This window comes from Homo sapiens, chromosome 12 (assembly GCF_000001405.40).
Source record: "Homo sapiens chromosome 12, GRCh38.p14 Primary Assembly".
Taxonomy (NCBI): domain Eukaryota; kingdom Metazoa; phylum Chordata; class Mammalia; order Primates; family Hominidae; genus Homo; species Homo sapiens.
Window position 1 is genome coordinate 109,161,211 of NC_000012.12, and position 25,782 is coordinate 109,186,992.

Below are 25,782 nucleotides of genomic sequence, written 5' to 3' on the forward strand. Positions count from 1 at the left end.
GGGAGGATCTTAACATGATTGGTTGAAAACAATAAATAAAATTAGCAAGGAGTCCAGTTGTGGGGTCTCACGCCTGTAATCCCAGCACTTTGGGAGGCTGAGGCAGGCAGATCACTTGAGGTCAGGAGTTCAAGACCACTCTGGCCAACGTGTAAAACCCCGTCTCTACTAAAAATACAAAATTTAGCCGGACATGGTGGCGGGCACCTGTAACCCTAGTTGCTCGGGAGGCTGAGGGAGGAAAATTGCTTGAACCTGGGAGGTGGAGGTTGCAGAGAGCCGAGATTATGCCACTGCTCTCCAGCCTGGGCGACAGAGTGAGACGCAGTCTCAGAAAAATAAAATAAAATAAAATAAAGAAATAATTATATCAAAAGACACCTGTACTTGTATAGTTATCACAGCACTATTCACAGTAGCAAAGATATGGAATCAACCTAAGTGTCCACCAACAGATGACTAGATACAGAAAATTTGGTGTATATATATATATAATTTTTTATGGCTCAGTAGTATTCTTTTGTGTGTATGTGTGTGTGTGGTGTGTGTGTGTGTGTATACCTACATGTATACATGGGTGTTCCTCTTACAAAATTAATAGCTTTTTTCTTATTGAAAATAACACATCATTGCAGAACATTTTTTAAAATATAGCAAAGAGATAACGGCTCTTAATACTTTAGCATTTTTTTCCCCCAGATCAGGGGTCTGTCTACAAATGATGTCCCTTGGGTTGCATCTACCTTTTTTTGTAAATAAATGAAGTTCTCTTTTTTTTTTTTTTTAGGTAGAGTTTCACTCTGTTGCCCAGGCTGGAGTGCAGTGGTGTGATCTCAGCTCACTGCAACCTCTGCCTCCCGGGTTCAAGTGATTTTTGTGCCTCAGCCTCCCCAGTAGCTGAGACTACAGGCGTGCGCCACCATGCCCAGCTACTTTTTGTGTTTTTTTAGTTGGGATGGGGTTTCATCATGTTGGCCAGGCTGGTCTCAAACTCTTGCCCTCAAGTTATCTGCCCATCTTCGCCTCCCAAAGTGCTGGGATTACAGGCGTGAGCCACCGTGCCCAGCGTAGCATTAACCTTTTAGAAGCTAGAAAGCAGATGAATGAGTGGTCACTGGCTTAAGGCTGAGTCCTAATGGAGCAGTGAGGAAAGTTGGGGACCCCTGGCCATCTGTACCACAGAACCCCCAAAAGGCATAGTGTCTGGCAGCAAGGGATGCCCCTGGAGCTGAGGGGTAAGGAGGGTACCAAAATGAGAAGGACAGGGTGGAAGACTCCCAGGTCCCCTCCCCTGTCTCCTGCGGCAGGGGCTGTCCACTTCGACCCCAACAGAAGGCAGCAGTTCAAAGGTACATATAGAGGGTCTTGGGAGAGGGGATCGACAGGCACAGTTGAGGGCATGGGGCCTGTATCCCAAATAGGAAGATAAGGGTCTGAATAGGTGCTGAATTCTTAGAACTTCCCCGTTCCCCCCGGGGCTCCAGGCTGACCTTTACTGTCCAGGCAGAAGACTGGAAAACTTCTCCCTGGGGAATCTGGCCAGCGAGAGAGAAAGACACAAAGATACTGACTCAGGGGATCCCCAACGCACTCCTACCTCACCCTACATTGAGCTCAGGGTCAACCAGGTCCACCACAGTCTCAGAAATTCTGTTCTCACTCATAGTCACAAGGTTGGAACCAAGGCTTCCCTGACATTTGGGTTCAGTTTCTTTTTCTTTTTCTTTTTTGAGATGGAGTTTTGCTCTTGTTGCCCAGGCTGGAGTGTAATGGCACAATCTCAGCTCACTGCAACCTCCGCCTCTCAGGTTCAAGCGATTCTCCTGCCTCAGCCTCCCATGTAGGGGGGATTACAGGTGCACGCCACCAAGCCCGGCTAATTTTTTGTATTTTTAGTAGAGATGGGGTTTCACCATGTTGTCCATGCTGCTCTCAAACTCCTGAACTCAGGTGATTCACCTGCCTCGGCCTCCCATAGTGCTGGGATTACAGGCGTGAGCCACTGCACCCGGCCCTGAGGTCCAGTTTCTCATATGTAAGTCAAGGTCCAAACCAGTAGACACAGGAAGCTTGGAAGAAACAGAAACCACGCTGGAGAAGAGAAGTTTAAAAAGCTCTCATTAATATCATCGTTGAGGTCAGACAGGATGTTGCACTCATAGGAAGAGGATGCTATAACAAAGGGAACATTTGTAGGCCAAAAACAGGCTCGTAGACATCAAAAACATGATAGCAGAAATGAAGAACTCCACTGAATGTTTAGAAGATGAGGCTGAGAAAAATCAACCAGCAAGTAGAAGAAGAGAGAGAATAGGAGAGGGGAAAAATGCATAAACCAGTAGGCCAGTGTAGGAATTTCAACATCCAGATAATAGGACTTCGGGAAAAAATAGAGAAAAAAAGAGGCAAGGACATCATCAAGGAAGTATTTGTTTCTTGTTGTTGTTGTTGTTGTTTGAGATGGAGTCTCACTCTATTGCCCAGGCTGGAGCGCAGTGGCACAATCTTGGCTCACTACAACATCCGCCTCCTGGGTTCAAGTGATTCTCCTGCTTCAGCCTCTCAAGTAGCTGGGATTACAGATGCACACCACCATGCCCGGCTAATTTTTGTATTTTTAGTAGAGACGGGGTTTCACCATGTTGGCCAAGCTGGTCTCTAACTCCTGACCTTAAGTGATCTTCCCACTTCAGCTTCCAAAAGTGCTGGGATCACAGGCGTAAGCCACCATGTTCAGCCCATCAAGGAAGTATTTGAAGACAAATTCCCAGGATGGAAGTTTCCAGATTGAGAGGGCCTGAGAGATGTGCAGCCTCATTGGTGGAAGCAGACACATACTTGAGCTCATCACTGTGAAATCATAGAGTTCTGGGGACAGAGGGACGCTCCTATAAGCATCTGGATATGAAAAAACAGGTCACCTACAAAGGATCAAGGATCAGAATTACTCTTGTTCTAGCAGCCTTGGAAGCCACAACACAATGGCACAAGGCTTCTAAAACTTGAAGAAGGTTTTCCTTCCTGAAATTTCTTTTTGTTTGAGATAGAGTCTCACTCTGTCGCCCAGGCTGGAGTCCAGTGGCGCGATCTCGGCTTACTGCAACCTCCATTCTCTGGGTTCAAGCAATTCTCCTGCCTCAGTCTCCCAAGTAGCTGGGATTACAGGTGCACAACTCTGTGTCTGGATAACTTCTGTATTTTTAGTAGAGATGGGGTTCACCATATTGGCCGGGCTGGTCTCAAACTCCTGACCTCAAGTGATCTACCCACCTCAGCCTCCCAAAGTGCTAGGATTACAGGCATGAGCCACCATGCCTGGCCCTTCCTAGCATTTCACACACAGCCAAGTGGTAAGGTTGAATGTGAGGGCAGGAGAAAGGCTGAAGTGCAATGGTGCAATCCTAGCTCACTGCAGCCTTGACTTCCTGGGCTCAAGTGATCCTTCTACCTTAGCCTCCTGAGTAGCTAGGACTACAGGCAGGTGCCACCATGCCTAGCTAATTTAAATTTTTTTTTTTTTTTTTTGAGATGGAGTCTGACCCTGTTGCCCAGTCTGGAGTGCAGTGGTGCAATCTCGGCTCACTGCAACCTCCACCTCCTGGGTTCAAGCAATTCTCCCTCCTCGGCTTTCCAAGGTGCTGGGATTACAGGTGTGAGCCACCACGCCTGGCCCTGAATAGCCTTTCTTAGAAAGCTACTTGAGGATGTCTTCCACTGAAACCAGAGGGTAAACCAAGGAAGAGCAACACACAGGAGACAGGAAACAGGAGATTCAACATAGACTGAAAGGGAGTCTCCAGGGTGATGGTGATAAGGAAGCCCAGTCAGGAATAGGGCAGGGAAATTGAGGGCATCATTGTCATGCGCCTTGCCATTCTACCATCTTCTTAAGTGGATGAAACTACTGGAGGATATGCCCCAGCAAAACAAGGGAGTCTACCAAGAAAGACGAGCCACCCATTCCCCCAAATTAGGAATCCAACCCCAAGGAAAGGCAAAGGGAATTCTAGGGATGTCAGCAAAGGGAAGCCCCAAAACAATGGTGATGTAGGGGCCTAGAGGACAGCCAGTACCTACGGAAGGAGAACAGAGGCCTTCAGGAGAGATGTCACCAGTGGAAAAAAACAGAACTGATCAATTATTTATTATTATTATTTTTAATGAGATGGGGTCTTGCTACATTGCCCAGGCTGGTCTCGAACTCCTGGTCTCAAGCAGTCCTCCTGCCTTGGCCTCCCGAAGTGCTGGGATTACAGGTATGAGCCACTGCATGTGGCCTGATCAATTATCTTATGTGTACTGGGAATCTATTAGGAGGAGTGGGGTGATTTAGCAACAGGTACAAGGAACACTAAGTAAAGGAAAAAAATCATTAACTCCAGGAAAAGGCAAAAAGAAAGGAACTAAAATCTGGTACACTGCAGCTCTCATATGTGAATAATGATCACAAACTTCATATGTGAATAATGATCACAAACAAGTAAAACATTGAATACCCAGTTTGCTAAATTACAGTAGACTTCTATGGTATTGACCAGCTGGTGGAGGGGAGCCGATGGGGTGGCCTTGTGAGATAACTAAATTCACATCTCTCAGGATGGGAAGGCCATAGATGCTGTCTCACATGGATGACTCACAAGATTGCATACACTTGTTGTTTAGGACTATGGAGATGTGTAATTGCTAGAAAAAATCAGCATCAGTTTCCTCTGGTGTGGAGGGACAGAGCAGGAAACCTGTTTTGTTGTTAAACATTTAAAAAATTGTTTTCAGTTTTCTAAAGAAATTTTGTGGGCTGGGCGTGGTGGCTCATGCCTGTATTTTGGAAGGCCGAGGTGGGAGGATCACTTGAAGCCAGGAGTTCAAGACCAGCCTGGGCAACAAAGTGAGACCCCTGTCTCTACAAAAAAGAAAACTTAAAAACTTCTGAAATACAAATGTAGAAAAGTACATGAAAGATATTAATACCATGTAACAAGTCGGAACGATTAGAATGTGTGGACTTCTTCCCTGATCATAAAACTCTCACCCTTGTTATAAGTTTTTTAGTATTATTCAGGTTCCTAAACAATGGGCATGTAAAGTAAAAATTAACTTAGGATTAAAAATCTAAACATCCACCTTGGGACAGGTAGAAGAAACTGCTCCTTCTAGTTCATGTGCTGGTACCTTAGCTGGCCTCTTAAGGTGCTTTCAGTTGGGTACAGTGGTTCACGCCTGTAATCCCAATGCTTTGAAAGGCTTTGACGTCACTTGACATCAAGAGTTTGGACGAGCCTGGGCAACATAGTGAGACCCCATCTCTACAAAAATGTTTAAAAGTCGGCTGGGCTTGGTAGTGCCCTCTGTGGTCCCAGCTACCCAAGGAGGTCGAGGCTGCAGCGAGCCACGATTGCACCACTGCATACTAGCCTAGGTGACAGAATGAGATCCCGTCTCAAAAAAAAAAAAAAAAAAAAAAAAAAAACCGAAGGTGCTTCCTGCCCTTGAGCCTCCTTGTAAATTGCTTCAGGGGCTCTGGAGAGCAAGTGCAAAGCAGGGGGGCTCTGGTGCAGTTTGGCTCCTCTGCTCCACTGGCTTTACAGGTGCCGAGCTCTGAGTCCCAGGCTTCTTCCCTCATGCACGTCTGTCCCTCATTCTTATTCTGCAGGCCGAGCATGTCGGGACTCCACCTGGTGAAGAGGGGACGGGAACACAAGAAGCTGGACCTGCACAGAGACTTTACCGTGGCTTCTCCCGCTGAGTTTGTCACACGCTTTGGGGGGGATCGGGTCATCGAGAAGGTACAGATGGGTCTCGGCACTCTGGGTGGGGTCCGATTGGGGTGCAGGGGCCCCTCCTCTCAGCTGGAGGTGGGAGATTCGGGTTCAGGCTCATTCTGCCTGCTGCAGAGAGGGGGTGAGGGCCACGCTCCTCTGAGTTTTAATAGTTTAACCCTCAAATAGAAATAATAGTGAAGCCTCTTTCAAAGGGCTATTGTGAGGATGAAATGAAATAAGACAGGTAAAACACATTGTACTGTAAAACACTCAAAAAGTGTTAAGGGTGATCACAATGACACCAAAGGAATAAAAAAAAAATCATTCACTGGGCTCGGCACAGTGGCTCATGCCTGTAATCCCAGCACTTTGGGAGGGTGAGGTGGGCAGATCATTTGGGCCCAGCCTGGGTTTGTGTTCAAGTTCAAGACCAGCATGGACGACATGACAAAATCCTGTCTCTGCAAAAAAATTAAAAAATTAGCAGGATGTGGTGGTGTACACCTGTAGTCCCAGCTACTCGGGAGGCTGAGGTGGGAGGATCACTTGAAGCTGGAAGGTCGAAGCTGCAGTGAGCTGTGATTGCACCACTGTACTCCAGCCTGGGTGACAGAGCAAGACTCTGTCTCAAAAAAAAAAATATATGTATGTGTATATATATATATATATATATATATATATATATTTCAGACAAACAGCCATCCATCCATCCATCCATTTGATGATCCATTCATGTGGATGGCAGACTTTGAGCTCCTGCTCTGTGCTGGGGTGTGTGCCATGGAAATACATAGAAATACCAAGAGGAATGATGTGCTGCGGGGGCTGCAGGAGGCTCTGCAGCTGTGAGGTGGACTCGGGGTAGCACGTGGCCCCCAGCGCAGGTAGATGTGCATCTACAGCTCCTTCCTTGTCTTCCCATGCAGGTGCTTATTGCCAACAACGGGATTGCCGCCGTGAAGTGCATGCGCTCCATCCGCAGGTGGGCCTATGAGATGTTCCGCAACGAGCGGGCCATCCGGTTTGTTGTGATGGTGACCCCCGAGGACCTTAAGGCCAACGCAGGTACCTGGGCCTTGACCCTCTCCTCCCATCACGCTCCATCCTTGCCTGCCCTCGCCTCCTTCCCCTGTGCCTAGGCAAGTCCATCCTGGACTCCCGATGGTCAGGACCTCTCATGAGTCTGTATTTATTTGTCCTTCCTTCTTTATTTAATTAAAATGTCTGCTGACATCAAGAACAACTCATGTGCCTTACAAAAATGCAGATGGTTAACATGCAGAGAGGAAATTCGATCTTTGAGAAATGTCTGTGTTCTAGCAGATTGGGGGCTGTTTCTCCTGCAGGTGTATGTAATTGTATTTCAATCATTTGTTCATTCTTCCGTTCATTTGCCTAAGTTTATTATAATGAATCATTCTATAAACAACTGTTGGATGATTTACTTTTTTCCTGAACAGTCTTATCCTTTTATAGGCCCTACTCCCCACAGCAGCCAAAGTGACCTTTTAAAAGCATAACTTCTTCTGCTGTATTTTCTGAAGGTTGTTAAAAACAAAAACCTCAGCCAGAGCGCTGGCTCACCCCTGTAATCCCAGCACTTTGGGAGGCTAAGGTGGGAGGATTGCTTGAGCCCTTGAGTTTGAGAGCAGCCTGGGTAACATAATAAGACCCTGTCTCTACAAAAAATAAAAATAAAAAAATTAACTGGGTATAGTGGCACGCACCTGTAGTCTCAGCTACTCAGGAAGCTGAGGTGGGAGGATCGCTTCAGCCCAGGGGGTCTAGGCTGCAGTGAGCTGTGATTACACCGCTGCATTCCAGCCTGGGAAACAGACTGAGACTCTGTCTCAAATAAAACAACATAAACCTAAAAGCATAACTCAGGTCCGAGCACAGTGGCTCACGCCTGTAATCCCAGCACTTTGGGAGGCCAAGATGGGCGAATCACTTGAGGCCAGGAGTTTTGAGATCAGCCTGCCCAATGTGGTGGAACCCCATCTCTACTAAAAATACCTCCCAAAAATTTGCCGGGCATGGTGGCAGGTGCCTGTAGTCCCAGCTCTTCAGGAGGCTGAGGCAGGAGAATTGCTTGAATCCAGGAGGCGGAGGTTGCAGTAGGCTGAGATCACTCCACTGCACTGCGGCCTGGGCGACAGAGTGAGACTGTCTCAAAAAAAAAAAAAAAAAAGCAAAACAAAAACCAACATAAGTCAGGTCTTCAGGTCTTTTTGTGCTTCTCCTTAAAATGCATCAGAGGCTGTGTGCTGTTCCCAATATTAGCAACCTCAGCACCATCCCCTAAGCCTTCCTGCCCCAAGCTCTTCACAGACATGGCCTCATTTGTTACTTACAGCTCTGTTTTACAGATGGCACAGTCGAGGCACAGGGATGTGAATTTATCACTTGTCCAGGGTCACACAACCATCATGTGATGCGGGTGGGATGGGAACCCTGGTCTGGGTTCAGAGCATCATCCAGTGGGTCCTCCCATCTTGGTTAGTCTAAAATTCAAAATTGTCACCCAGGCCTATTAAGTCCCCTCCTGGCTCCATCTTGAACCTCTTGCCCTCCATCAGCCGGGTACCAGTCACCCTGACCTCTGGTAGCTCCTGGGCCTGTTGCAGAGTCTTGGCACCTGCTGGAACCTCTATTGAAGGTGCTTCTCCCAGAGCCCTTTGTGCAGTGGACTCCCTCCCCACCCAGCCTGTAGGTCTCAACATGATCATCGCATCTCTCTCAGAGAACCTCATTTATTTTCTTCCCAGCACTGACCGGAGTCTGTAGTTATTGTGTTTATTTTCTTGTTTATCTTCTCCAACATAAAAGAAAAACTGGACAAGGACCAGGAAGCCTGTCTGGCCGCTCACTTCATCATCTCTGGAATCTCCCCGTTGGCCGACACTTCTGTGTTTGATAAACATAGGAGGCAGGCAGGCCGGAAGGAGCAGCTGCTCTGGGATTTCTTTCTGTGTTTGCATATAAAGTGCCACATTGTTCAATTTCAGGATCTTAGCAATTCTATAGTACAGATGTCCCAACCCCTGTGTTTGGATTGAGTCTAACTTTTCCTAGTCCAAAACACTGCTCAGTGGCTGTTCTCTGACTTTGGCCTCATTGATGTGTGGGTTTTTGTTTGTTTGTTTGTTGTTGCTTTTTTTCTGAGATGGAGTCTTGCTCTACCTCCCGGGTTCAAGCAATTCTTGTGCCTCAGCCTCCCAAGTAGCTGGGACTTCAGGCATGTACCACCACGACTGGCTAATTTTTGTATTTTTAGTGGAGATGGAGTTTCACCATGTTGGCCAGGCTAGTCTTGAACTCCTGACTTCAGGTGATCTGCCCGCCTCAGCCTCCCAAAGTGCTGGGATTACAGGTGTCAGCCACCGCGCCCAGCCAGCGTGTGTTTTTTTAAGGACATATTCCTAGACATGGAACTTCTGGCTTAAAGAGCATGAGTATTTTAAAATCAAAACATTGCGTTATGTTCAGCCTTAAAAAGGAAGGAAATCCCGTCATATGTTACAACACAGATGAACCTTGAGGACGTTATGCTGGTCACAAAAAGTGAAATAAGCCAGTCACAAAAAGACAAATACTGCATGATTCCATGTAGAAGGGGTAACTAGAGTAGTGCAATTCATAGAGAGAGAGAAGATCGTTGGTTGCCAAGGACATGAGGGAGGGAGAGAAAGGGAGTTGTTCATGAGTATAGAGCTTCAGATTCATAAAATGAAAAAGTTGTGGACATCTGTTTCACAATATAAATATACTTCACTATTGAACTGTACACTCAAAAATGGTTAAGATGGTAAATTTTGTGTGTGTTTTTTTTTTTACCATAATTTAAAACTCTGTATTGTATTTTTGTTTGTTTGTTTGTTTTTTGAGACAGGGCCTTGCTCTGTCACCCAGGCTGGAGCGCAGTGACATGATCACGACTCATTGTAGCCTCGACCTTCTAGGCTCAAGTGATCCTCCTGCCTTGGCCTCCCAAGTAGCTGGGACTATAGGCATGCACCACCATTCCTGGCTACTTTTTTTGGATTTTTTTTTTTTTTTTTTTTTGTGGAGACAAAGTCTCTGTGTGTTGCCCAAACTGGTCTTGAATTCTTGGCCTCAAGTGATCCTCCTGCCTCTGCCTCCCAAAGTGCTGGGATGTCAGGCGTGCACCACCGTGCCCAGCCCTATTATATTATTTAATGGTAAAACAATATTAAGATAAACTTTAAATAGGACTTTTTTTAAAAACCCACCTCTAATCCCAGTCTGTTGACAGATTACTTCCTTCTTCCTTCGTTCCTTTCCAGGCCTTCCAGGCCTTGTCCAGAAACATATCTGTATCACATAATTAAAATCATATTTCATTTTCTTTACATTTTCTTTCTTTTTTTTTTTTATTAGACAGAGTCTCGTTCTGTCACCCAGGCTGGAGTGCAGTGGTGTGATCTCAGCTCACTGCTACCTCCGCCTCCTGGGTTCAAGCGATTCTCCTACCTCAGCCTCCTGAGTACCTTGGATTACAGGTGCCCACCACCACGCCTGGCTAATTTTTGTATTTTTAGTAGAGACAGAATTTCACCATGTTGCCCAGGCCGGTTTCGAACTCCTGGCCTCAGGCCATCTGCCTGCCTCGGCCTCCCAAAGTGCTGGGATTACAGGCGTGAGCCACCACGCCTGGCCTTCTCTTTACATTTTCATACATGTTTGTCCATTGTTACCATAGAAATCTGCATGGTTCTGCTTTCCATGGCTGTACATAGTCACATCTTGTAATGTTCTGCCATTGATGTCAGTCTGTCAGCAGTTCCTTCCTTCTCCCTCCCATTTAATTTCAGAGTACATCAAGATGGCGGATCATTACGTCCCCGTCCCAGGAGGGCCCAATAACAACAACTATGCCAACGTGGAGCTGATTGTGGACATTGCCAAGAGAATCCCCGTGCAGGTAGATGGACTGGGGTGCCCAAGTGTGGCCCCTGAGTGTGGGATGATGCCCCTAGGTTCTAGTTCAATTCCACAGTTCACAAGGGGTGGAGGGTCCAGATCCCACAAGGCTCCAAATTCCTGGGCTGATGTAACACAGAAAAGAGTGTTCAAGTGAGGCGAAGCACATTCTGTTTTTAAAAAAAAATTTTATAGACAGGATCTCGCCATGTTGGCCAGGCTGGTCTCGAACTCCTGGGCTCAAGTGATCCTCCTGCCTTGGCCTCCCAAACTGCTGGGGTTATAGGCGTGAGTTACTGCACCTGGCTGGGAGGCATATTCTTGAAGGAAGATTGTTGCTCACCCCTTTCTGTGTTTGCAGGCGGTGTGGGCTGGCTGGGGCCATGCTTCAGAAAACCCTAAACTTCCGGAGCTGCTGTGCAAGAATGGAGTTGCTTTCTTAGGTAGAGTGTGTCCCCATCAGATACATGGGAATTGGGGTATTGCTGGGACACTCTGCTGGGTCTGACCCTCTTTCTCCTCCTGTCCTGTAAAGCGGAGGTCCGTTTGATTTCCCACCTCACACTTCTGTCGTGAGGAGTGAGTGAGTCCCAGGGTGGAAGGGCACATAGCTAATCTGCCAACTCATGGAATTAGGAGCTGCCCGCTTTTCAAAGGAAGACACACAGGCAGCCAACAAGCATATGAAAAAAAGCTCAACATCACTGATCATTAGAGAAAGGCAAGTCAAAACCAGAGTGAGATACCATTTCTTGACAGATTCTGAGATTGTGGAGAAAAGGGAACGCTTATGCACTGTTGGTGGGAGTGTAAACTAGTTCACCCATTGTGGAAAACAGTGAGGCAATTCCTCAAAGAGCCAAAAATAGAACTACCGTTTAACCCAGCAATCCTGTTACTGGGTATATACCCAGAGGAATTTAAAATCATTCGACCATAAAGACGCATGAACACGAATGTTTATTGCAGCACTATTCACAGTAGCAAAGGCATGGAGTCAACCTAAATGCCCATCAATAACAGATTGGATAAAGAAAATGTGGTACATATACACCATGGAATACTATGCAGCCATCAAAAATACTGAGATTATGTCTTTTGTGGGAACATGGATGGAGCTGGAGGCCGTTATCCTTAGCAAACTAACACAGGAACAGAAAACCAAATATTAAATGTTCTCACTTATAAGTGGGAGCTAAATGATGAGAACATATGGACACAAAGAGGGAACAGCAGACACTACTTGAGGGTGAAAGGCGAGAGGAGGGAGAAAAGCAGAAAAAATAACTATTGGATACTAGGCTTGGTACCTGGGTGATGAAATAATCTGTACCACAAACCCCTGTGACATAAGTTTACCTATATAACAAATTTGCACATGTAATTATGTCCATGTCCTTGTGTAGTTTAGGGGAATCATTTACTATCATGTAATAAATCCCTGCTTCTCCTTACCGGTGGGTCTGAAAACAGTCTTGCCCAAATGTGAAGCAACTCAGTGCGGATCAATACATGATATTCACCTGAGGTACAGCCGGGAGTCCCATGCCCATTGACGTTTTCTTTGTCTGTGGACTCTGAGTACATGTGGGCATCTGTCCTGTCTGACAGTTACCCAGGACTCTCATTATCAGTCTTAATTCCTCTGGAGGTTGATGATCCAGCCCACTGGACAAACTACAGCTCATAGGCCAAATCCAGCCTATGGCTTGCCTTTGTAAATAAAGTTTTATTAAAACATGGTCGTGCTTATTCGTTTATGTATTGCCTATGGCTGCTTTCACCCAACACTGGCAAAGTTGAGTCATTGTGACAGAGACCTGCAGGCTCGCACAACTGAAAGTATTTCCCATCTGGCTCTTTATAGAAAGAGTTTGCTAACCTATGGTCCAGCTCTTTGAGCTCCTAGCTTACCTCTTTGATCTAGCTTTCTGCCTTCCCTCCAAAGTGAATTTTGTATATGCCACTGTAGCCTAGGTTGTAACTCACAACAGGTTTACAATCCACATACGTTGAAAGTTGACTGATGCAATAGCAGACTAACAGATTATTTTTCTTCCCTGACATGAGGTTAAGCTCCTTGAGAGCTGGGACCAGAGAATTTTCTCTGTCATCTGCTCCTTACCTGGCCCCACCACCGTGCACTCGGTCGGCCTTCAGCCTCGAGGGTCTTGTGACTGACCGGATTCTGCTTCCCTTCTTGTCCCCGATTCCTCAGGCCCTCCCAGTGAGGCCATGTGGGCCTTAGGAGATAAGATCGCCTCCACCGTTGTCGCCCAGACGCTACAGGTCCCAACCCTGCCCTGGAGTGGAAGCGGTAAGGGACCCCGAGCTTCCCTCTGGGGGAGCTTCTCAGCCCAGTCTTGATAATGTGAACGGTCAGGGTGACAGAAGTATGCTTGTAACAATTCTTTCCATTACAAATGTTACTTACTTTTATTTTTTAGTCATTAGCAAAATATTTTAAAATTTTAAATTAGTAAACAAGTGGTATAATTTATTGTAGGCAATTTAGAAAATACAAGAAGTACAAAAAAGAAATGGAAATCATTCATAATCCTATGACCCAGTGTTGAACATTTATTACATTGTAGGTATCTACCTTTCCAACCTTTTTCTGGCCATATTCTTTGGGAAAAAAAAAAAAAAAAGACAGATCTTGGCCAGTGGCTCATGTCTGTAACCCAACCCCCCAACCCAGTGCTTTCAGAGGCTGAGGGAGGAGGATCACTTGAAGCCAGGAGTTCAAGACCAGCCTGGGCAACATAGCAAGACCCCATCTCCAGAAAAAGTAAAAAAAAAAAAAATTAACTGGTTATGGTGGTGCATACCTGTAGTCCCAACTACTGAGGAGGCTGAGGCAGGAGGGTGGCTTGAGCCTAGGAGGTCGAGGTTACAGTGAACTATGGTGGCACCACTGCACTCCAGCCTGGGTGATGAGACCCTGTCTTTAAAAGGAAACAACAACCCATCTTACATTTCCTAGTTTGTGACTTTTTTTTTCCTCACTAATGAATATCTTTCTATGTAAAAAATACACTTTACACCATTTAAGATGCCTGCATAGGATTATATCTTATGGATGTATCATAATTTACTTAACAGTCCTCATGGTTAAACAATTTAGGTTGTTTCCAATTTATTTTTTCTAATTTAAAAAATATTCAAAGGAATGGAGCTTTGATAATCTTACAGCTAAATTTATGTGTGCATTTTAATAATTTTCTTAGGATAAATTCCTAACAGTGGAGTTTCTAGGACAAATTAAAAAATAAATAGGACCGTCTCAAAAGTTTCCTATTAAATTTGTTTTTTTTTCCCCCCCCAAAAGTTGAATTTTAAATTTGGGATGGAAAATTTGCTTTCATTTGTTAAATCTTTGCATGGTGTTGGGAAATAATTATTCACATATAAATGACTCCATAAGGTAGAATTGGGATTTTTTTTTGGATTTAGATTAATATGGTTGTTGTTGGTCGACTCAGTCTGAGTTTCTTTCCTTTTTTGTTGTTTTGTTTTCGAGACAGGGTCTCACTCTGTCACCCAGGCCAAACTGTAGTGGCATGATCATAGCTCACAGCAGTCTTGACCTCCTGAGCTCAAGTGATCCTCCTGTATCAGCCTCCCGAGTAGCTGGGACTACAGGCCCATGCCACCATGCCTGGCTAATTATAAAATTTTTTTTGTAAAGACAAGGTCTCACTATGTTGCCAGGGTTGGTCTTAAAGTCCTGGGTTCAAGCGATTCCCCCCACCTCAGCCTCCCAAAGTGCTGGGATTATAAGCATGAGCCACCACGCCTGGCAGTTAGTTTCTTAAGCTTGATTTCTCATTCAAGGTTGGGTTAGTTCTTGAGGAAATGAAAAGCCATTGTGAGAAGCTGAAGGGAGTGTCTGTATTCCGCTGGTCCAGAAGCCCAGGTCTAGCACTATGTCAGCAGGGAGAGGCGCTGTGGTTTCTGGGTTGTGTGTGTTTCTCCTGGATTTGGGAGGAATCAGGTTTCTTTGTGACTCTCCAGGCCTGACAGTGGAGTGGACAGAAGATGATCTGCAGCAGGGAAAAAGAATCAGTGTCCCAGAAGATGTTTATGACAAGGGTTGCGTGAAAGACGTAGATGAGGGCTTGGAGGTAAATGCAGAGCCTGTGGGGGCCAGGGGAGCCAGAACCGAACTGCCTCTGTCCTGGTAGCAGTTGGCAACTGGCTAACCTCTAAAGAGGTCTGTTTGTCCTTTGCACCCAGGCAGCAGAAAGAATTGGTTTTCCATTGATGATCAAAGCTTCTGAAGGTGGCGGAGGGAAGGGAATCCGGAAGGCTGAGAGTGCGGAGGACTTCCCGATCCTTTTCAGACAAGTGAGCAGTTCTTGCTGTGTCTTTTCGCATCTGTCTTTGGGAATTGTTTGTGGGCTGCCAGATTATTTCTCTTAGCATTATTCTGTGACAGTCAAGAAGACATTTGTAGGAGCTGGATGTATCGTTGTATCGTATTTTGCAACAAACGCGTACATTTTTACTCAGAAAAGCCCATGGTTTTGTGTCGATCTTGACAGAATCTTTTAGGTAGTTCAAGTCTATAAATCAGTGTATCTAGAAATGATTTCAGAGATACAGGATCAAAATAGCTGTTTGTGACTATATTGGCCTATAGAGGAATGGGATATTTTATAAATATTAGTACTCTTGTTATTTCTAATGTTTCTAGATGGTCTATTTTATTTTATTTTTGAGACAGAGTTCACTCTGTCACCCAGGCTGGAGTGCAGTGGCACAATCTCAGCTCACTGCAACCTCTGCCTTCCAGGTTCAAACAATTCTAGTGCCTCAGCCTCCTGAGTAGCTGGGATTACAGGCGTGTGCCACCACACGCAGCTCATTTTTGTCTTTTTAGTAGAGACAGAGTTTCACCATGTTGGCTGGGCTGGTCTCAAACTCTTGGCCTTGAGTGATCCACCCGCCCTGGCCTCCCAAAGTGCTGGGATTACAGGTGTGATCCGCTGCGCCCTGCCTGATCAATTTTAACTGTAGGAACGAATTGCACATTTACTTACTGGTAGCTAGTTTTCCTCTTTTAAAACCTTATGTCCGTTATCAGCAATGTTTAGAAAACATTTATACTGACAATCTTCCCATTCTTAAAGCTATTTTAATATTTCTAGCTTTTCTTCTAGACCTTCTTCATATGTATATTTTAAAGAGCTGTATTCAGTCTACACGAAATTTTGCTCTGCATTTAACACATTCCAAATTGTAGATCATGAATATTATTATGTTATTCCTGCCTTGGCAATTATTTTGATGATTACTCAATATTTTATGTGTGGCAATAGCCTTATTTATGAAACCTTTCCTTTTTTGTTAAATGTTTAGCTTATTTCTACTTTGTTATTATGAATAATAATACCACAGTATAATGTGATATTTAGTACTATAAATAACACTTAGCTCTTTTTTCTTCTTAATTATTTTCTTGGATAAAGACTTGGGGAGAAAGACTTAGTTAAATAGCACACACTTTACATGCACTTTGAAACACATATCAGTACATTGCTTTCTAGGAGTTTTACTAATTATACCACTCTTGGTATAATATGTGAATGTTGTATAAAGCAGCAGTTTCACTACCATTGTATCGCTGTTGGGGTGTACAAGTGTTTTGGGGATTTGGGTGGGGGGAAGAATTGATATTAAAAGGGAAGTTGCAGCAGCAGTACAGAAAGTTCACATCTATCCTTCGCCCGGTTTCACTCGTTAACATTTTTCATATAACTTTGCAACTAAGAGATTAACATGGGCACTTTTCTGTTTGGTAAACTCCAGACTAGATTGAATTTCATCTGTTTTTGCACCAATGTCCCTTTCCTGTTGCAGGATTCAGTCCTGGATTCCATATTGCATTAGGGGTCATACAGATTTTAAAGCTTTTTTGCTTTTTAAAAAATAGACTTTATTTATTAGAGCAGTTTTAGGGTCACAGCAAAATGGAGCGGAAAGAATAGAGAGTTCCCACATACCCCAGGCCCTCATGTGCACACAGATGCCCAAGCTTTTTTATTTTACTTATATGAGTGCACTATGAATATGTTCTTAATGTAGAGAGTCAGTCAAGTCAGCCATGTGTTAAGAATAAAAAAGGAAAAACCCTTTTCCCCATTACCTTCCAACTCTCCTTTCTCAGATGTAACCACTATTAGCAGCTGCCGATGGTGGGGGGCTCTTTTCAGCACTGTCACTGTATATACTTTTACATAGACATTCATACAGTTGTTTCATTATTTTTTGCATGACTTCATCCTATACATTATTGCAAATTTGTTAAACTTAATTTGTCTTAGAAATCATTGCACGTGAATACTTTTCACATTGTCTTTAAGAATCTCTAGAAGACATGCCTATAAAACAATGCCTTTCAGCTCTTAACAGGATGAAGTAAGTTTGTCCTTAGATTCCACCCGGGAGAGCTAGCTGAGAAAGTGCAGTAAGTGGAAGAAAAAGACAACCACAGATTAGTGTGTTTTGGTCCCATTTTCATTCAAAGAAACTTTCTCTGTATGTGTTGCTATATGCATAGAAGAAAGCCAGTTTGGACACCAAACTCTTTAACAGTGCAATATCTTTAGGGGATGTGACTGTGGGAGATTTTACCATTTCACAGAGTTTGACTTAAAAAAGAGAATATGTTGCAGGTAGTGACTATTGGGCTGGCGGTGCAGCTGGTAAAGGAATTTACCAAGACAGCTGTAGGTAAAGAAAGGCAGATTTATTGGAGGAAGTATGAAAATATGTTGCAAGATTGCAACAGGCAGCACAGCAGAGAAGGATCTGTCTGCAAAGAGGCAAGGGCTGGTGGGAGGTTTTATAGGGTGGTGCTGGAGGAGGGGCTGTGAGGTCATTACGTCCTGGGGTTGTTTGTGATTAGCCATCTCTCGAGCAGTTGTTCATTGTTCTTCCCCACCTGGGGCCGTCCCCCACCTGGGGCCCCTTTCTCCTCGTTACTGTGGAGTCGGGACTCCACAGAATATTATGTCTGTGAGACAACAAAAGTAAAAGATCAGCAGAGTCCTGGATGAGTACCCTAAACACATCACTGCGTTTGTTTTATGTTCTCTCCTGAGAACTTCCAGAAGCTTCCAGAGCTGGTTTCCCCATGAAGATCAGGCTGCTCTGCTTCCCCCGACAGGTACAGAGTGAGATCCCAGGCTCGCCCATCTTTCTCATGAAGCTGGCCCAGCACGCCCGTCACCTGGAAGTTCAGATCCTCGCTGACCAGTATGGGAATGCTGTGTCTCTGTTTGGTCGCGACTGCTCCATCCAGCGGCGGCATCAGAAGATCGTTGAGGAAGCACCGGCCACCATCGCCCCGCTGGCCATATTCGAGTTCATGGAGCAGGTACACTTCTCAGAGCCCAGGGGGCAGCTTCAGAGAGAGCCGTCTCAGCTCAGAGTCAGGAAGAACTTTCTACGGTCAGTGTGGCTGAATGGTGGCATGGGTGCCTAACAAGAGGGATGAGGGCCCATTCCAGAGGTGATTTCAGCATCACACAGGTTTATTGGATTAGCCGGTCTGTGAACTCCCCAAATATTTCTTTTCTTTTTTGAGACAGAGTCTCACTGTGTTGCCCACGCTGGAGTGCAGTGGTGCGATGATAGTTCACAGCAGCCTGTAACTCCTGGGCTCAAGTGATCCTCCCACCTCAGCCTCCCAAGTAGCTGGGACTACAGGAACCTGTCACCATGTCTGGCTAATTTTAAAAAAAAATTTTTGTAGAGACAGAGTCTTGCTATGTTGCCCAGGCTGGCCTTGAACTTCTGGCCTCAAGTGATCCTCCCGCCTTGGCCTCCTTAAGCGCTAGGGTGATAGGCATGAGCCACCACACCTGGCCAGTCCCAAAATATTTCACATGTAGCAGGTGCTCAGTCTGCATTTGGTGAAGGAACTGATAGTCACCATTTACAGTTCCCTGAAAAGACCTCTGGAACCCCCTTGGCCTCTTTCTGTTTCTTCACAGTGTGCCATCCGCCTGGCCAAGACCGTGGGCTATGTGAGTGCAGGGACAGTGGAATACCTCTATAGTCAGGATGGCAGCTTCCACTTCTTGGAGCTGAATCCTCGCTTGCAGGTGGAACATCCCTGCACAGAAATGATTGCTGATGTTAATCTGCCGGCCGCCCAGCTACAGGTGAGAAAATGGGCTTGGGGCCCTGGGACTTCTCTGCCCTGGGTCAGGGGTCCATGTGCTGCTCCCATTAGTCCATCCCGCCCATCTCTTGGCCGACTGTCCCAGGGGAATGACTGGCCAAAGAGCACTTTGAGAAATCTGTAAAAGCTATAGTTCTCCCTGGGAAAATATCTTTTATACAATTTCAGGACATTCATAGACCTAGAGAAATGTTTCTTAACCTTGTTATCATTATCACTCCCTGCAAGGATCCTTTGGACACATTTTATATCCTAATCCCTGTCTTGTGAAATTTTAATATCACAAATATACCACATACCTGTTTGGATATTGTAGATATATCTGTGCTTTATTCATGAAAAGAGTGAGATTTTCTTCACTCCCAAGAACAAATATTTGTCTCTTCAGAGGCAATATCATCCCTGTTAAGAATATGTGATCCAGAGTTGTAACCTCTTGGGTTAAAGGGAACTCTAAATTTTTTTTTTATTTTTAATTTTGATGGGTATATAGTAAGTCTGTATATTTATAGGGTGCAAGAGATTTTTGTTTTTGTTTTTGTTTTTTTGAGACGGAGTCTTGCTCTGTTGCCCAGGCTGGAGTGCAGTGGCGCGATCTCGGCTCACTGCAGCCTCCGCCTCCCAGGCATACAATGTGTAATAATCACATCAGGGTAAATGGGTATCCATCCCCCTCCAGCGTTTATCCTTTCTTTGTGTTATGGTGTTATGAATATTCCAATTATACTCTTTTAGTTAATTTTAAAATGTACAATAAATTATTGTTGACTGTAGTCACCCTGTTGTACTATATCAAATAGCAGGCCGTATTCATTCTCTTAATCACTACATTTTTGCGCCCATTAATCATCCTCGCTTTCCATGCCCCTACCTCTTCCTTTCCAGCCTCTGGTAACCATCATTCTACTCTCTGTGTCTGTGAGTTCCATTGTTTTAATTTTTAGCTCCCACAAATGAGTGAGAACATGCAAAGTTTGTTTTTCTCTGCCTGGTTTATTTCATTTAACATAATGTTCTCCAGTTCCATCCACGTTGTTGCAAATCATGGTCTCATTCTTTTTTATGTCTGAATAGTACTCCATTGTGTGTATGTACCACATTTTCTTTTTCCTTTTTCTTTTCTTTTTTTTTTTTTTTTGAGATGCAGTCTCGCTCTGTTGCCCAGGCTGGAGTGTAGTGGTGCAATCTCGGCTCACTGCAACCTCCACCTCTTGGGTTCAAGCAATTATCCTGCCTCAGCCTCCCTAGTAGTTGGGATTACAGGTGCACACTACTATGCCCAGCTAATTTTTGCATTTTTAGTAGAGATGGGGTTTCACCATATTGGCCAGGCTGGTCTCAAACTCCTGACCTCAGATGATCTGCCCACCTCAACTTCCCAAAGTGCTAGGATTACAGGCATGAGCCACTGCACCTGGCCTGTACCACATTTTCTTTATCCAATCATCTGTTGATGGACATTTAGGTTGATTCCAAATCTTGGCTATTGTGAATAGTGCTACAATAAACATGGGAGTACAGATACTCTTCGATATACTGATTTCCTTTCTTTTGAGTATATATTTAGCAGTAGGATTGCTAGATTGGTAGTTCTACTTTTAGTTTTTTAAGGAACCTCCATATTGTCCTCCATAGTGGTTGTACTAATTTTCAGTCCTACCAACAGTGTATGAGGGGTCCCTTTTCTCCACGTCCTTGCTAGCACTTCTTTTTCTGTTTTCTTTTTCCTTTCCTTTTTTTTTTTTTTTTTTTTTTGAGAGTGAGTCTTGCTCTGTTGCCCAGGCTGGAGTACAGTGGTGCGATCTTGGCTCACAGCAACCTCTGCCTCACGGTTCGAACAATTCTCCTGCCTCAGCCTCCTGAGTAGCTGGGACTACAGGCGTGTGCCACGACGCCCAGCTAATTTTTTGTGTATTTAGTAGAGATGGGGTTTCACCGTGTTAGCCAGGATAGTCTTGATCTCCTGACCTCGTGATCTACCCACCTCAGCCTCCCAAAGTGCTGGGATTACAAGCTTGAGCCACCGCGCCCAGCTGCTAGTATTTCTTATTGCCTGTCTTTTGGATAAAAGCCATTTTAACTGGAGTGAGACAATGTCTCATTGTGGTTTTGATTTGCATTTCTCTGATGATCAGAGATGTTGGGTGCCTTTTCCTATGCCTGTTTGCCATTCGTATGTCTTCTTTTGGGAAATGTCTATTCAGATCTTTTGTCTGTTTTTAATTGGATTCATGAGACTTTTTTCCTACTCAGTTGTTTTAGCTTCTTTTTTGTTTTTGAGCCAGGGCCTTGCTCTGTTGCCCAGGCAGGAATGCAGTGGCATGATCATGGCTCACTGCAGTCTTGACCTCCTGGGCTCAAGCGATTCTCCCACATCAACCTCCTGAGTAGCTGAGACTACAAGTGTGCAACACCATGCCCAGCTAACTTTTTAAAATTTTTTGTACAGATAAGGTCTCACTATGTTGTCTAGGCTGGTCTCAAACTCTTGGGTTCAAGCAGCCCTCCCACCTCAGCCTCCCAAAGAGCTGGTGTTACAGGCATGAGTCACCATGCTCATCCTTGAGCTTCTTATGTATTCTGGTTATTAATCCCTCGTCAGGTGGCTAGTTTACAAATGTTTTCTCCCATGCTGTGGATTGTCTCTTCCCTTTGTTGATTGTTTCCTTTGCTGTGCAGAAGTTTCTTAACTTGATGTGATCCCATTTGTCCTTTTTTTGCTTTAGTTGTCTGTGCCTTTGGGGTATTACTCAATAAATTTTTGCCCAGACTGATGTTCCTGAGAGTTCCCCCAATGTTTTCTTCTAGTAGTTTCATAATTTCAGGTCTTAGATTTAAGTCTTTAGTCTATTTTGATTTGAAGAATTTGATTCTTCATTTATGATTCTGCATATGGATATCCAGTTTTCCCAGCACCATTTATCGAAGAGACTTTTTCCCCATTGCATGTTCTTCGCAAGTCTGTCAAAAATCAGTTCACTGTAGATGTATGGATTTGTTTCTGGATTCTCTATTCTGTCCCATTGATCTATGTGTTTGTTTTTATGTCAGTACCACCCTGTTTTGGTTACTGTAGCTCTGTAATATAACTCATAGTCAGGTAATTCAATTCCTCCAGTGTTTGTTCTTTTTTTTCAGGATGGTATTGGCTATTCTGGGTCTTTTGTGTTTCCATATAAACTTTAGGATTTTTTTTTCTATTTCTGTGAAGAATGTCATTGGTATTTTGGTAGGGATTGCACTGAATCTATAGATTGCTTTGGGTAATATAGCCATTTTAACAATACTGATTCTTCCAAACCATGAACATGGAATATCTTTCCATTTTTGTGTGTCCTCTTCAATTTCTCACATCAGTGTTTTATGCTTTTTATTATAGAGACCTTTCACTTCTTTGGTTAAGTTTATTCCAGGGATTTTATTTTGTTTGTAGCTATCATAAATGGAATTACTTTCTTGATTTTTTTTTCCAGACCATTCGCTCTTGGCATATAGAAATGCTACTGATTTTTATATGTTGATTTTGTATCCTGTAGATTTACTGAATTTGTCAATTCGAATTGTTTTTTTGGTGGATTCTTTAGGTTTATCCAATTTTAAGATTATATCATCTGTAAACAAGGATAATTGGACTTCTTCCTTTCCAATTTGGATGTCCTTTATTTCTTCTCTAAATTGTTTTCATTGTTTTCTTCCTTCCTTCCTTCTTTCTTCCCATAATGGGGTCTCATTACGTTGCCCAGGCTGGTCTCCCTCCCTTCCTCTTTTTCTTCCTTCAGCAGAATTTTTTAAAAAGTTTTCTTTATTTTTTTTTCAGTTTGAAAGATTTCAAAAAAGTTGCAAGAATGATACAATTAATACCCATACGCCCTGCATATAGATCCATCAGTTGCCACATTTGCTTTGTCTCTCTTCTGTCTGTTTGTATAATTTTAGGGGGCTCAATCTTTTTTTTTTTTCTTTGAGATGGAGTCTCGCCCTTTCACCCAGGCTGGAGTGCAGTGGTGCGATCTTGGCTCACTGCAACCTCCACCTCCCAGGTTCAAGCGATTCTCCTGCCTCAGCCTCCCGAGTAGCTGGGATTATAGGTGCCTGCCACCACACCCAGCTAATTTTTATATTTTTAGTAGAGACGGGGCTTCACCATGTTGGCCAGGCTGGTCTCGAACTCCTGACCTCAACTGATCAGCCCACCTCGGCCTCCCAAAATGCTGGGATTACAGGTATGCACCACTGTGCCCGGCCGTGGGCTCAATCTTTTGAGCAATGGTTTGAGTGAACCTTCGTAACATATGGCCTCTGAATACTTCATTCTAAAGGCCTCCTACAACAAGAGCATTCCGGTCCAATGCCCTAGTGCAATTATGACACTTGAGAAATAGAGCATTGATACCACATCTATATCTAATATATACCATTCACATTAAATATTTTCCCTGTTGTTCCAATAATGTCTTTTTGTAGCTGTTTTTTGTCTCTTAAATCCAGGATCCAACCCAACCCAGGGTGACACATTCCATTTTATTTTCATGTGTCTTTAATCTCTTTAATCTGAAAGCATTTCGTAGTCTTTTTTCATCCTTGACATTGGCATTAAAATTTTTTTTTTTTTTTTTGGTGATGGAGTCTCGCTCTGTCACTCAGGCTGGAATGCAGTGGTGCAATCACGACTCACTACAGATTCAACCTCCCAGGCTCAAGTGATCCTCCCACCTCAGCCTCCTGAGTAGCTGGGACCACAGGTGCAAGTCACCATGCCTGGCTAATGTTTTTTTAATTTTTTCTGTAGAGATCGGGTCTCATTATGTTGCCCAGGCTGGTCTCCAACTCCTAGGCTCAAGCGATCTGCCTGCTTCAGCCTCCCAAAGTTCTGGGATTACAGGCATGGACACTGGCATTTTTGAGGAGCTCAGGCAGAATGTCCCTCATTGGATTTCTCTGATTGTTTCTTCCTGGTTCGATTCCTGCTACACATTTTGGCAGAATACTACACAGGTGTTGTGTCCTTAATACATCTCATCATGAAGCCTGTTAAATCTGATCATTTGGTTAAGCTGGTTCCATAATTGTCTACTTTTTACCCATTCTTCATGTCCAGTTTCCCCTTCGGGTGCCCTTTACAAAAACTTCCTTTAACTCTGCAGCCAACATGGTTGCTTCTCACCTTCCCTAGCTCTAAAAGTCTAGTGCTTTTACTTGATGCATGTATTTTCTTGTTGTGTGATGTTGTTTCATAAATATTTTTCCTTTTCCCAACTGTACTATTTGCTCCACTGTGAAAAGTTCATGTCTTATGGCTTTTTCTTTCTTTGGCTCTCTGGCCACAGTAGAGCACCATGTTGTCTATAGAGTAGTGTCTGTATATCCTAAATCATTGACTGAACCTCCGTTGCATCTACCACTGTGCCTGGTGTTTTGGGGCCGTGTTCTGGTAGGACTGACAGTCTGTGGGTTGGATCTCTTGATTTTAGATCGCCATGGGCGTGCCACTGCACCGGCTGAAGGATATCCGGCTTCTGTATGGAGAGTCACCATGGGGAGTGACTCCCATTTCTTTTGAAACCCCCTCAAACCCTCCCCTCGCCCGAGGCCACGTCATTGCCGCCAGAATCACCAGCGAAAACCCAGACGAGGCAAGTTATGGGGGCCCCTGTGTTTCCACCATCTCAGATCTCCCAGCATGTGGGGGACCCTGGATGTTAGCCTGGGAAGAGACACCCACAAGCTATCCAGGCATCTCAGTTTACAAATGGGGAAACTGAGGCATGGGAAGGGACATCCCATGGTTTATTTGATTATTGGATTTATTGGATTTTTATTTTTATTTATTTTTATTTTTTTGAGATGGAGTCTCACCCTGTCACCCAGGCTGGAGTGTAGTGGCGCAATCTTGGCTCACTACAACCTCTGCCTCCCAGGTTCAAGCGATTCTCCTGCCTCAGTCTCCCAAGTAGTTGGGATTACAGGCGCCCGCCACCACGCCTGGCTAATTTTTGTATTTTTAGTAGAGACGGGGTTTCACCATATTGGCCAGGCTGGTCTGGAACTCCTGACCTTGAGTGATCCACCCGCCTCGGCCTCCCAAAGTGTTGGGATTACAGGCATGAGCCACCACACCTGGCTGGATTTACTGGATTTTTGGATTATTGCCAGGCTCTGGGCCGAGCCTTCCCATGTCTCACTGCTCACTTATAGGACACTACTGCTGCTGGACATCGTCACCCCACATTACAGGCAAAGAGCCTGGGGTAACTTGCTTCCTGTCTCCCACCTGGGACCTGCTGAGACCCATCAGTGGACTCCAAAAGCCATGCCTATCTTTGGGACAAGCAGCCAGGTTTAGAACCCTAGTCCTTGGATTTCTGGCCCCGTGTGCTTTTTGCTACAGTATGAAGTCTGGCTCATTGTAGAGAGTCCCTTTGTGACTTGGCCTTACTTGGGTCTTAAAAAACAAACCAACTGGCATCCCTTACAGTTTACATGCATACCGACCGTTGATTGTCACAGGACTCATCAATCTACTACAACTTAATTGCTTAATTATTACCCTCAGGAAACTGGGGGTAAGAGAGGGTACACCTCCACCCCTTTTAATTAAATAATTTTAAGCTAGGGTAGCTGTATTCATTTAGGGTTCTTGGCTGTGAACCAAACACCAACTCTGGTGGACAAGCAAAAGGGGAATTTTTTGGAGGGATGATGGCTCGTTCCCAGGTTCCTAGGAGGATGGAGGACCAGGTATGGTAACAGCCCAGGCACTTGGGTCGCTCCATCTCTCACTTCTACATACCTCTCCCCAAATCCTTCATCCCTTAGTTCAGGAGCCCTAATCCCAGTGAGAGGTGCCATGTCCACCCACTCTTACCAAAATTGTACTTAGAGGGA

The 25,782-nt window shown here is 44.6% G+C and overlaps 1 protein-coding gene across 18 annotated transcripts in view; it reads left to right on the top strand.

Annotated features, from left to right (window-relative positions):
- The window catches only part of ACACB (acetyl-CoA carboxylase beta), a 157,038-nt gene that overhangs the window by 50,022 nt on the left and 81,234 nt on the right, over nt 1-25,782 (top strand). For all 18 annotated transcript variants that reach the window (XR_007063072.1, XM_047428764.1, NM_001412734.1 and 15 more), the window contains 10 exons: nt 5,651-5,783; nt 6,686-6,824; nt 10,595-10,704; nt 11,065-11,146; nt 12,922-13,020; nt 14,721-14,830; nt 14,943-15,053; nt 17,878-18,087; nt 18,707-18,877; nt 24,369-24,530. Coding sequence is in view for 17 of the 18 variants with exons in the window: in XM_047428764.1 (XP_047284720.1) it covers nt 5,651-5,783; nt 6,686-6,824; nt 10,595-10,704; nt 11,065-11,146; nt 12,922-13,020; nt 14,721-14,830; nt 14,943-15,053; nt 17,878-18,087; nt 18,707-18,877; nt 24,369-24,530 (1,327 nt within the window). In the remaining variant the exon portion in view is untranslated. The remainder of the gene's footprint in view (nt 1-5,650; nt 5,784-6,685; nt 6,825-10,594; nt 10,705-11,064; nt 11,147-12,921; nt 13,021-14,720; nt 14,831-14,942; nt 15,054-17,877; nt 18,088-18,706; nt 18,878-24,368; nt 24,531-25,782) is intronic.